At 34.6% G+C, this 13,842-nt stretch overlaps 1 protein-coding gene and 1 long non-coding RNA gene across 21 annotated transcripts in view; one reads left to right on the top strand and one right to left on the bottom strand.

Annotated features, from left to right (window-relative positions):
- Window positions 1-13,842, top strand: part of PCDH15 (protocadherin related 15) — a 1,825,172-nt gene that overhangs the window by 958,864 nt on the left and 852,466 nt on the right. For all 20 annotated transcript variants that reach the window (XM_047425663.1, NM_001354420.2, NM_001354429.2 and 17 more), the window contains one exon: window positions 4,789-4,907. In XM_047425663.1, coding sequence (XP_047281619.1) covers window positions 4,817-4,907 — 91 coding nt within the window. In that variant the 5' untranslated portion in view covers window positions 4,789-4,816. The remainder of the gene's footprint in view (window positions 1-4,788; window positions 4,908-13,842) is intronic.
- The window catches only part of LOC105378311 (uncharacterized), a 169,822-nt gene continuing 169,007 nt past the window's right edge, over window positions 13,028-13,842 (bottom strand). The window contains exon 6 of the long non-coding RNA NR_134503.1: window positions 13,028-13,527. This is a non-coding gene — a long non-coding RNA (uncharacterized LOC105378311). The remainder of the gene's footprint in view (window positions 13,528-13,842) is intronic.

Genomic DNA, 13,842 nt, shown 5'->3' with positions numbered 1-13,842 from the left:
GGAAAACCTCATGTTTTTAGTTTGAAGCTGAGGTTGCTTTGAAGGGAAGTTTGCTTTATTCCAGCAGGTAGATAGCATACGTTTCTCACAAGGAATACAAAGCAGTGACAAGTTTTAGTTTTGTAGCTTTATCTAGATATTGTTACAGATCAAGAATAACAGTAATTTGGCTGAACCAACTGTTGAAGGGCAGACTGCATACATACAGCTCACTTCACTGTGAGACTCCAGCTTGCTTCATGGTTGTGTATTGGTATGGGGTTTCTCATCAAAGTAATGACGGTGTGTTCCAAGTTTTGGTATCTCAAGAAAGTTAGTGTTTATTCACATAGCAGTCAGAGACATAGGCTAAAAAATAGTTAACATTGTCAAAATTGTATTTAAGAGAAAACTGCTGTGGTGTCAACCTTGGCTGCTTTTGCCATGTGTCACTGCAAACACCCAAGACTCAGGGAGCAGGGATAAACAGAAAAAGGACAGACCTTTGTGTATTTCCAGACTTTGGATTTATATTTGAAAGTGAAAGGCAGTGAAAGACCTTTATTCTCCTTCCAAGAGATGGACAGAAATCTGTACTCAGAATAGTAGATACCATCAAGGATGCTGTCAGGGTTGTCGGAATAGTTATACTTTCATTGTAAAGTTCTCATTCAGTTATTTTATCGGATAGCATTTTGGTTGCTTTGTGTAATCTCACTTCATTTACTGAATGAAAATTATTGTAAAGTGACAATATACAGTTTTGAAATGCTAGCTGCTATTTTCATGTCACTTATTACATTTTAACATTTTATATAACTTATTTATGTTTGTTATTGGTCTATCTTTATTTTGCTGGAATATAACATCCATGGGAGAAAAGAAATGTGTCAGCTTTGTTCACTGATATTTTCCAACTGCCTAGAAGAGTGAGTGGTATCTAGTAGACCCTCCATAAGTACTTGTTGAATAAATTAATTTTTGAGAACATTGAATGCCAGATAAATAAATATGAGATTTATCTTGCAGGAAATACAAATGATGTGAAATTCAAAATTAGTATGTTTGTCTTGAATAATTGCAGTAAAATATTCTTAAGCCTAAGGAAATTGTGTCATAAAATGCACATGGAATGCAAACCACTTACGTGTAATATTATACTGTAATAGGAAAAAAACACTTTTCCCCAGTATTTTGACAACAGAATACTATTTCTAAGTCACGATTGCAAAATGATAACTTTATTAGCTATATTAGAGTACTGAATACACCAATTTAATTATCTCTTAAAAAACAAGTATAACATATTTATTTATAGGTCACCTACAATTCTTTTTAGAATTGAACATGCTTTGGATTTTTAGAACATAACATTATTAGCCAATAAATTCTGTAGGAAAAATATATACTCGGGGAACATGGAAAGAGTTTGATGTGGGATTTGTAGTAAAAGTAAAGTACCACCATAGAGGTGTTGTTTGACAGGCTTTTCATTTACCTACAGTCACTTAGCAAGATTATGGAATTCATCTCCTATAGGACTTTCTCTTTTAATTCTAGAGATTAAAAAGCTAGTAACAAAAACAGTCTTTTGTCTAAAGCATTTGATCTCTTCCAATTAATTTGATCACAATCACAGAAGTGCCACTATAGGCTGTCAGTTGATTGGCACAATATTGTACTAAACATCTTGGTCCTGTAGTCATTTACACAATCTCTTTGTGGGAGGTACCTTTTCATTATATCTTTGTTTAGAAACTGGGTTTTCTCACTAAGTCAATATGTGTTCTGTGTTTTGGGGTATCGGGTTGATGTGATGAGTCATAGCTTTCTTTCAGGTCTCTGTAAATATTGAGCCCATTGAAGTGATGAAAATTTCTTTGGAAATCAGGCAGATATAGATGAAAGAGTAAAAAAACTATAGAAATTGTTATTATTATCATTATTCAAAGACAAATAAGTATAATATTTCCCCTAAAATTATCTCCTTCCTCTGGGCAGTAAATGCTATATCTATTCTAAATAGATTTTTTATGAGTTTTGTCTGTGATGCTTTCAGAAATATGCATATAATCCTCTAAAAACTTGCAGAGCCATAGATCAAGAGGTTTTGTTTCTGGAGGCATAATAATGGCAGTGACATTAATGATTTTAAAATAATGATCCATCATGTTGTTTTTATATTGGAGACTGTTCCATGAAACCAAATTAGCTTCAGTTAGGAATAAAAGAATATGCCATAATTTGTGAATGCATAATACTATAAACTACTATAAAGGAAGTCAAGCTGGCAGATCAAGGACCCACACAGGAACACAACTATGTCCTTTTGTCCTTTGCTAAGATATTACCGTCTCTTTAATTTTGTTTTCTAATACATATCTTTTCTGGTTTGTATTAATTTTGTTTTCCAATATATATCCTTTCTGGTTTGTATTTGTATATGGTTTCTCTTTATATTTTTAAAATTTAAATAACATTGTTTTATTTCTTAATGTCATGTTTGTTTTTCCAAATAAAAAAAGATTTGAAGCCATTGTATATAGAAATCTTAGTAGAGCTCTAATCCTTTGTGAAGGGGGTTAGAATGTCTCTCTCAGAGTTTAAGGGAAGCAATACAGCAGGCTCTCCTGGGCCTCCATATGCCTTGAAAACTTCTGAGCCCTGTGTTTTCTGGGAATTTTTCCAATACTTTTCTCTAATGGAATGAGCAGAAGTGTCTTACTCACAGACTTTATGGTCTCTTCAGACACTCACCAGTTTATAACCTTGAGCCAGTCACTTATTCTCTCTGAGCCTGACCTTTCCTCCACAAAATGGGGATAATAATATCTACTTTCCAGCCCTTGCTAAAGATAGATTGAGTAAATCTGTATTTAAGACTTTGGAGGTTCCATAGATGCTGAGTCTTTTATATTAAGCTTTAGGGGGTACTCATATTAAGCTTTAGGGGGTACTCATTCTGTAAGTACACTGCATTAAGCACGTATTTATATTCCCTTACGTATTTAATGTTTAAGACAATCTTATGAGGTAAATACTATTTTATATCCATTATGATAATGAGAAATGTGAGACAAAGATGCTATTTAATTTCTTCAAAGTCATATAACTAGTAAGCTGAAAAGCTTGAATTTAAAAAAAAAGCCACATTCTTATCCGCTGCTCTACACAACCAGTAGCATTGGTCAATTTTATTTTTCTTTTTTCTACAGGTTAGTGTGGATTGTGATGATCTCTTGGCATCTAATAATGAGCTCTTCTTTGGGCTTTCTGTCCCTAGAAATTATAAATGCACGCGCCAAGCACTTTGCCAGTTAGGAAAAAATGTGGAAGGCCCAGTTAAAAAGAAGGCAGCTCCTTTTATATCTTAGATAAAGAAACAAAGAAGAATAGACTTCATATTAAAATGTGTGTGATCTAGAGCAGTGATCTTTTAAAGTCAAGAACTGTGTATCCCATTAGTTTAAAAAAAGAGCTTACACCTTTAATACAATTTTACAATGCAATATATATATTTATACATGCTGCTGGACAAATAAACATTATTAAATACTTGGCAATAAATCAAAAATAAAATGTAGACAAAAGCAGAATTAAAATCGTGCCTTTGTACCCTCTGATAAACCTTATCCTCAGCTAGTCTAGTAGAGAGAATCCTGGGCAGAAATAGAAAACTGGAGAACTTGAGACATCAATATTACCTGCTAGAAGCATTTAGTCTTATAAAGAAGATTGCACAATCATGTAAACACTTGGAAATCACATGAAAATTTGGATTTCTGCCTTCTCTTTGAAAATCAGAAGACCCAGAAACACTGGCTTGCATTGCCACATCACAACCACTGACAGAAGTTGAGCACCAGCTGGTCTCTTTAGAAAACCTTGCATTGCACAGTTTATCACAGCCTCTACCATCACTATTGTCCCCTTTGGCTAATTCATTCTTTTCCTTTGTCTGCTTGTCCTCTGTAGGCATTTGAGTTTGGAACCTCTGAATTAGAGAAACAGTGTTCCAATCCCTAGTCTGCCACAATTTATAATCAAGAGCATTTTGAACAATTCTGTGTGGATAATTTCCTAAATTTACAAAGAAACTGAGGATGTCATTCTTTCAATAAGACATTCTCATGTGCTCACAGGCCACTAATTTCTCAATCAGTTGTTTTCTTTCTTTTTTTTTTTTTTTTAACTTGCTGGGGATTGAAAAGTAAAACAAGAGAATTAAAATGAAATGCATCCAAATGCTTCATAAAGCAGATGTAGTGAAAATTGACAGATTTTCCTTAGTCTTTCCTGGCATAGTTAAGTCAATCTCTGATCACTCTACTAGAAAGGAATTAACATTTTAATGATGGGCTTTTCTACTTAATTGTATAAGACAAATTTTCATTGAAATGCTCATGTAGGATACTAACAACTGGCTTACTATCTTACACTTTGTTGTAAAATTATGCTGTAGACAACATAAGTTTAGTAACTTAAACTGATTAACATTGGACTTACCCATAATGTCTTAAATTTTAAAGAGTGTGCTTCTGATATTATTAGTATGTTAACTTCTCAACCTACTTGCTGGCAAATTAAATAACAGAAAAGATGTCTTTCCTTAGAGATTACTTGTCTGCAAATTTATGTTGATAAACAGTTCCAGTGCATTAAACCAGTGTGTTACTTTGTTAATGGATAATGTGGCACAGGTAATTAACTATGAAGTCATTAAGGCTTTTCTGTGCTGTGACAATTGTGTTTACCTATAACAGATTAATGAACATGTCAAATGTTTCTTTCTACCTTTTCTTATTTCAGATCAGCTTTGAGTGAACTTTGACAGAAGATGTTTCGACAGTTTTATCTCTGGACATGTTTAGCTTCAGGGATCATCCTGGGCTCTCTCTTTGAAATCTGCTTGGGCCAGTATGATGATGGTAAGGTTGCTTTTAGCTTGACCTTTAGAGCGAGCCAGGATTTTTATTATTACATTGAAAATATACCACAGAGATGAATAATGCTAATTTGTAGTTTATGATTGAAAGGTTAGTATCTCTGTGTAATAATTAACCTTAACTAAAATAAGCTTAGAAAAGTGAAATCAGATGTCCTTTGTTTCTTAATAAAGATTGCAGCATGGTAGAAGGAATACAGTTTAGTACAAAATTTAATGCAAGACCTCTGTTTGAATGCTTATTCTAACTAGGTAAATGCTTAATTTCTGTGGAAACAATATTAAATTGTATTTACTAACCTTTGAATATATGCAAACAAAGGTCTCAAACAAAGCTAGAAATACAAAAGACAACAAAATTTGACCCCCTGAAAGGGTCAGAAGTAGCAGCCATAAGTTGTTTTGGTGTTGGCACTTTAACTGGGCATTGCGTTATTTTATCCCCCACTATTTTTTTTTTTTGGGAAGAATAGAAAAATGAAAAAAGATTTGGTATTTTGGTATTTGATTTGGTATTTGATTTCTTAAGCTTTCCCCTAACAGTAAGTCAGTCATTTTAGAAAGATTCATTAATTTTCAGGTTCCTTAGAATCCATTTAGTACATGATGTTTGCAATGGCCCAATTGTGCCTGTCTTAGATATTTCAATATTGGCAGAATCTGTCTTAGAATAGCCTATAATGACAGTTAGGATATATATAATATGTTATATATATATTTATATATATATAAATTTGATAGAAGACAAAAATGGAAAATGTTTCCTCCCTAGAAATTTCCTATTCAAGAAAATTGAGTTTTATTTCTTTCCTGTCTTTCTTTTCTTTTAACTTTTCCTCGTTCTTATTCAAGATTTGTTTGGCATTCATGATGCACAGACAAGCAAACTGGTTGCTCTTAACGGCAGCAAAGGATGTGCATTTATTTTGTGCTTTGCTTGGCTAAACTGATTGATCAGAAGATAGATGAATTAGTCTGGCTTTTTCACAAACAATGTTCAAGTTGTGCATATATTAAGACATTCTCAGTCTTCAATAATGTGAGAGATAAACTTCTTTTGGGATTTGCAAAATAATTCACAATAGTATATTCCCTTTCATAAGATCGGCAGCATGATCTCTTGAACACTGCTGCTAGTTAGCATGGTGTTTACTTCAAGTGCATCTGAACTTAACTTCACATCTTTGATATTTATGGAGATTGTGAATCTGCAGCCTAAAAATGATTTTTAAAAGCAGTATGTATAAATAACTGCTATTTTGAAGGAAAACACATTGAAATGAAAAAGAGTTGTGACTCTATAGTTCAAGAGCTCATTTTAAATTGTGCCAGAGGAGTAGATTGGAAATCAATGTATTGGTATTACTTTATATAATAAGGCATTCTATTTTCATTCTTATTAAGTGTTCACACTGAGCAGGAAAGTATTCACTGTCTGTCTTTTTTCACATTAGACATCCACGAACCATGCACTTTTTAGTAATGTAATTTTAGTTAACAGAGGAAATCACTTCTGGTTTAACCTGTAATGCTATAAATTGGTTTTCTTCGTAAGCTTGTTGTAGCTCTTAGTCTTATAAATATATTTGCATTGCCTCTAATATGAGATTATCAGGTCATTATTGGGCATTGCATAGTCAACTTTCTGAAGCCCATTGGAATTTCAGACTTGCCAAGTGATACAGCACAGTGGAGCTGACTTTAATGTACTATACTAACACAGTTTATGTTGTGGTTTATTTTGTTTTGAATTTGAGGATATATATGATAATAAAAAGTACAAATGGACTGGGATGAAATGGTGTCTCATTTTTGTTGTAACTTGCATTTCTCTAATGATTAGTGAGGTTGAATGTTTTTTCATATGTTTGTTGGTCACTTCCATTTCTTCTTTTGGGAAGTGTCTGTTTACATTCTTTCCTCACTTATTAATGGAGTTATATGTTTTGTTCTTGTTGATTTGTTTTTCTTATAGATTTCGGACATAAATCTTTTGTCAGATATATTACTTGCAAATATTTTCTCCCATACTATAGGTTGTCTGTTTATTCTAATAATTGTTTCTTTTGCTGTGCAGAAACTCTTTGGCTTAATTAAGTCCCATTTGTCTACTTTTGTTTATGTTGCATTTGCTTTTGAGGTATTATTTATAAATTATTTGCCTAGGCCAATGTCTAAAGAGGTTTTCCTAGGTTTTATTCTATGATCTCTATAGTTTTAGGTCTTAAATTTAAATTTTCAATTCATCGAGTTAATTTTTGCATATGGTGAGAGATAGGAGTGAAGTTTCTTTCTTCTGCATTTAGCAAGCAAGTTTTCCTAGCACCATTTATTGAATAGGGTGACCTTTCCCCAATGTTTAATTTTGTCAGCTTTGTTGAAGAACCGTGGTTATACACATGTGATTTTATTTTCTAGTTTCCCTATTGTGTCCATAGATCTATGTGTCCATCTTTATGCCAATGCCATGCTGAGTTTTGTTTGTTTTTTATTATAGCCTTATAGTATAAAGTCAGATAATGTGATGCCCCCAACTTCATCTTTCTTCTTAGGATTGCTTTGGCTATTAAGGCTCTTTTTTTGGTTCCATATGTATTTTAGAATTTTTTTTTATAATTTTATGAGTAATAAATTTGGTACTATGATAGAAATTATATTGACTATGTAGCTCGCTTTGGGCAGTACAGTCATTTTAATGATGTTGATTCTTCCAAACAATGATCATGGGATATTTTTCCACTTGCTTCTGTCATGTAGTATTTCTTTCAGCAGTGTTTTATAGTTCTTGTTGTGGACATCTTTTACCTCATTGGTCTCCTTTGTTAAATATATTTCTAGATATTTTATTTTTTGTGTCTATTATAAATGAAATTGAGATTTTTATTTGGTTCTCAGTTTGAGTGTTGTCGATCTATGTAAATGAAACTGATTTTCAAGCATTTATTTTGTATCCTGAAATCTTACTGAAGTAGTTTATCAGGTAAAAGAATCTTTTGGAGGAAATATCAAGGTTGTCTAGGTGTAAGATTGTCATTAGCAAACAGAGATAATTTGACTTCCTCTTTTTCAATATGGAAGACATTTATTTATTTTCCTTGCCTGATTGCTGAGAGTGGCCATCCTTGTCTTGTTACAGTTCCCATTCAGTATGATATTAGTTGTGGGTTTGTCATAGACGGCTCTTATTATTTTGCAGTATGTTTTTTTCAATGCCTAGTTTGTTGAGGGTTTTTATCATACAGACATATTGGATATTATTGAATGTTTTTTCTGCAGGTATTGAGATGATCATATGGCTACTGTTTTTAAAATTGTTTCTGTGGTGAATCACATTTATTGATTTGCATATGTTTAACTATTTGTGCATCCCTGGAATAAAATCCACTTGACTGTGACAAATTATCTTTCTGATGAACTGCTGGATTTGGTTCACTAGCATTTTGTTGCAGATTTTTGTGTCTATTCATCAGGGATATTGGCCTGTAGTTTTCTTTGTGTGTATGTGTTCAGTGCTAGGTTTTGGTATCAGGATGATACTGGTTTCATAGAATGAGTTAGAGAGGAGTCATTCCTCCTTAATATTTTTATTAGTTTATACAAGATGGGTACTAGCTCTTTCTATGTCTGGTAAAGTTTGGCTGTTAATCTGTTTGGTCCTGGCTTTTTTTGGAAAATGGATTTTTTATTACTAATTCAATTTCATAACTCATTATATGTCTCTTCAGGATTTCAATTTCCTCCTGGTTCAATCTTGGCTGGTTATATGTTTCCAGGGATTTATTCATTTCTTCTAGGTTTTCTCGTTTTTGATCACAGAGATATTCATAGTCTACCATGATTACTCTCTGAGAATTTACATAGACTACTCTGAATATATTTTGTATTTCTGTGGTATCGGTTGTAATGCCACATTTTTATTATTTCTGATTGTGCGTATTAGAATCTTCTCTTTTTGTTCCTTAATTAACTTAAATAGCAGTCTTATCAATTTTATTTATCCTTTCAAAGACACAACTTTTGCTTTGTTAATCTCTTGTTTGGTTTTTACAGTCTCAACTCCATTTAGTTCTGCTCTGATTTTTGTTATTTCTTCTTCTAGCTTTACATTTGGTTTGTTCTTATGTTCCTAGTTCCTTGATGTATGATATTGGATTATTAATTTAAGATATTTTTATCTTTTTATGTAGGCATTTAGTGCTTTAAACTTTCCTCTTAACACTGCTTTCATTGTATCCCAGAGTTTTGGTGAGTTATATTTCTATTTTTATTTATTTCAACTTTTTCTTATGTCTGCCTTAATTTTCTTGTTTAGCCTAAAATCATTCAGTAGCAAGTTGTTCAGATTCCATGTACTTGTGTGGTTTTGAGAGTTTCTCCTGATATGTATTTTTTTTTTTTTTTGAGACAGGGTCTTACTCTGTCACCCAGACTGAAGTGTAGTGGTGCTATCTCAGCTCACTGCAACCTCTGCCTCCCAGATTCAAGCGATTTTCCTGCCTCAGTTTCCTGAGTAGCTGGGATTACAGGCATGCCCCACTAACACCCAGCTAATTTTTGTATTTTTAATAGAGATGGGGTTTTACCATGTTGGCCTTGTGGGTCTTGAACTCCTGACCTCAAATGATCCACCCACCTCAGCCTCCCAAACTGCTAGGATTACCAGCATGAGCCACTGCACCCGGCTGATATATATTTCTAATGTTATTTCCTCTGTCATCTGAGAAGATAACTGGCATAATTTTGATTTTTTTGAAATTATTGAGACTTGCCTTAAGTCCAAGTATTTGGTTAATTTTAGAGAACGTTCCATGCACAGATGTGAAAAATGTATACTCTGTGGTTGTTGCATGGTATGTTCTGTAGATGTCTATTACATCCATTTGATCAAGAGTTCCATTTAAGTCTGGAGTTACTTTGTTGGTTTTCTTTTGCCTTGATAATCTATCTGGTGCTGTCACCAGACAGATTATATAACTAATAGTTGTTAAATACTTCAGCTGTTATTGTATGACTTGTTTCTTTTCTTAGGTCTAGTTGTTTTTATTAATCTGGGTGCTATGGTGTTGGGTGCATATATTTAGGACAGTTAAATCTTGTTGAATTGTATCTTTCTTTGTCTTTTTTTTTACCTTTCTTGATTTAATATCTGTTTCATCTGATACAAGAATAGCACCCCTGATCTTTGTTGTTTTCTATTTGTGTAGTACATCATTCTCCACCCTTTACTTTGGGGCTGTGGATATCATTACACAGTAGGTCAGTCCCTTGAAGGCAGCAAATGGTAGGGTCTTGCTTTTTCATCCAATTTGCAAAATGATATCTTTTATGTGGAGCATTTAGGCCATTTTCATTCAAGATTAATATTGACATGTGAGGTTTTATTCCTGTCATATTGTTGTTAGCTAGATACTTTGTATATTCAATTGTGTAATTGCTTTATGGGATCTGTGAACTTTGTACTTATATATGCTTTTCTGGTAGCAAGTATTGTCCTTTCATTTGCATGTTTAGAAGTCCTTTAAGGATTTTTTGAAGGACCAGTCTATGGGTGAAAATTTCCCTTACCACTTGCTTGTCTGGGAATGACTTTTTTTCTACTTTGTTTATGAAATTAAGTTTAGTAGGTTATAAAAATTTTGGATGCCATTTATTATAAAATTATTTTCTTTAAGAAGGCTCAAAATAGACCTCTAATTCCTTCTGGCTTGTAAGGTTGCTGCTGAGAAGTCCACTGTTAGTCTAATGGGACTACATTTTATAGATAGTTTGATACTTACTGTTTAAGATTTTTTTCTTTAGTATTGACCTTGGATAGTCTGATAAATTTATGACTTAGTAATGTTCATTTGTATAATATCTTACAGATATTCTCTAAATTGTTTGTATCTGGATGTCCTCCTCTCTGACAAGATGAGGAAAATTTTCCTCAATTATTTCCTCAATTATATTTTTCATGTTTCTTTCTTTCTCTCCTTCCTCAAGAATTCCTCTAAGTATAGGTTTGGTTGCTTTCCATTATCCAATATTTCTTGAAGGATTTGTTCATTTTTAAAAATTATTTTTTCTTTATATTTGTGTGACAGGGTTAATTCAAAAAAACCAGGCTTCTGAATGGTCTAGTGTATTGTTAAAGCTTTCAACTATGTTTTGAAATTCCTTTAGTTACTTTTTCAATACATGAAGTTCTATTTTCTAATATAGCTATTTTGCCTTTTATATCCTTCATCATTTTTCTGATTGAAATTCCTTGCACTCTGTATTTTGAATTCTTTATCTGTCATTTCAGGATTTTCATTTTGGTTAGAATCTATGGTTAGAGTGCAAGTACAATCCTTTAGAGATGTCAAAACACTCTACTACCTTTTTGTACTGCTAGAGTTCATGCATTGATTCTTTCTCATCTAAAGGAGATATCACTTCTTATTTTTGAATTTTCTATCATTTATTTTTCCTTTAGAGGATTACTGTGATTTATGTTATGATGTGTATGATATGCTTTGTTTTGGGGTGCTTTCAGTGTGCCAAAGTTCTTTATGGGTTCCTTGATTGTGGGTAATCTTTGTATGGTGGTTTTCTTGAATGTTGCCTGTTGTTTTGATGTGTTAGATGTGTCAGCTGACACTATCTCCTGCGAGGCTGAGAGTACAGAGGTCTCAGGAAGCTTATCTTATTCACTAGCCCTGTGCCTTTCTGAGAACAGGTATTCTATTTTACTCTCCAGTCCAGTGATGGCACTTAAGCATAAGAGCCTGCTCATTCTCTGGTAGCTCAGTAATGACTGGAGGCACCCACCCTGACAGGTGTAGCTGGTGGAGATCCTGTTGGGCTGTGGCAATGTTTCAATGGAAGAGCGTTGGAGGCCTATACCAGGTCCTCATCCTGGGCAGACAGGAATGTGATCTGCTTCCCTATCATGCCGCTGTTGCATTTTGCTCATGACCTTCAGTTTAAATATACATTGTCCTTTGACTCCTGGCCATAGTGCAGCTGGAGACCATGGGTATGCCCCTCCGGCAGCTACCAACAAAATGGGCTCAGGGCAAATCCTCTTCCCCAAGTTCATGACAGACAACTTTGTAGCTTGTCTGCCTTCAGTTGCTGGGATGCTATTTCTTTGTATAGAAGGGGAGAGATGGGTCTTACTCTTCATGGAAGCCTCTGTGGCAGGGGCTTACTTTGAATGGAGGTGTAGCTGTTGTGAAAACCACTGGAAAAGTTTACACCAATTTCACAAGGGCTGGCCTTTAACTGGTAGAGCCTCTGCTGTGTCTGCAAGAGTAGATGGGAGGAGCAGAAGATGACTACCTCTCCATATCCATTCCCGGCTGCCGGTGCCACTCCCTTCAGTGATCTGTGTCACACTACATTTCCTTTCTCTCAAGGCAGGCTTTGGAGGGCTGTCTGTGCACCCCCATTCCCCAGGGGTAGGTCACACTGAGGGCTAGATTACCAGGGATCCACAGTTCCTCAGGGATCCTCTCTGTTTCCCTTTGATTGTGGATGTCAGAGCAGGTTATGGGGTATGTTTGCAGGGGATCTTGTGATGTGGTGACTCAATGACTGAGGTTCTACAGGCACAGCAGTGGCCCACTATGTGTACACAACTAGTACGGCACTTGACATCTCAGTTCAGGCCTGAGAAGAGTGTGGGCACCCCTGTGTGAGTTAACAACATGGATTTCTGTCTTTGGGAATTTTCCAAATTGCCACGGACATCATTGCCCAGGATTGTGAGGGTAGAAGGACTCTCTAATAATTCGATGGTTAGCAGGTTGTTGCCAGGGTGAGGGGAACAGAGAAGCACCCCCACCTATACTTTTTTGGGGTCTCTAAGTTCCTTGGGGGTCAATCTCTGCCAGACTCTTCCTGCTTTCTTTTTCTGTACCCTAGCTTCTTCTTGTGGGTTCTCTGACAGGTCCTGGCTCTCATCTGACTGTGTTTCATTCAGATCATTACCATTCACCTGTAACTTTGATCTTTCCGAGAACTAGCATCCCAAGTCAGTCAACCATGTTGGAAAAACAAAGAAATAAACAAAAACCTTGACTGTATGTTTATTCTGAGAAGTTAAATTCAAGTTTTAATAGTAACTACATTGTTTTCGTTAGATGGCAAAATCCAGAGATTTTGTCTTTTTTATTGGAAGCTTTGTAAGCTATTACATGTATATGTACATATTTCTAGATTACATACCATATATGCCATTTAGAAAGGGATGACAAGAAATACCATTGTTACTTTCAATGTTAACTCCAATAATTTTTTTCTAAGCAATCTCAATGTTATCTTCATATGAAATCTCAGCTATGTCTTTTCATTAGGTTGTACCAAGACTAGCATTTCTTGTCTTCATGTTTTCCTGAAGGTGAGTAATCTTGTGGATCCTTGTGTCTCCAAAATGGATTTGGTTGTAGGATAACAGTTTGAAAGCATATATCTTTTCCTGCTTTAGAAGAATTTTCTGGTAATCAGGTTCAGAAATACAAACTCTGTGACTTCTCTAAGTTCTGACCTTATGCCTTGAAGGATTACTTCAATAGCTTCTCCGTATTCCAGTAATAGACTCTGTTAAAGCCATGTGTATATCCTGGAAAGCAACAGAACTAAAAGAGAGAGAAGAAAAAAGGTACTGATAAATAGAAGCCCATTTCATTGTACTTAGAAGATTCTCTTTCTGCTAAAACACACACACACACACACACACACACACACACACACACACACACCCCACCACACACACACCCCTTACCCAAGGATGTTATTTCTGAGGTAACTTACAATATCCCAGTATTGGTGCTCAGATGTTCTTTCTTTCTTTCTCTCTTTCTCTCTTTCTCTGTCTCTCTCTCTGTCTCTCTCTCTCTCTCTCTCTCTCTCTCTCTCTCTCTCTCTCTCTCTTTCTTTCTTTCTTTCTTTCC

Source organism: Homo sapiens, chromosome 10 (genome assembly GCF_000001405.40).
Source record: "Homo sapiens chromosome 10, GRCh38.p14 Primary Assembly".
NCBI lineage: Eukaryota > Metazoa > Chordata > Mammalia > Primates > Hominidae > Homo > Homo sapiens.
Note: the sequence above shows the minus strand (reverse complement) of the source record. Positions and strands in the feature narration are given on the sequence as shown.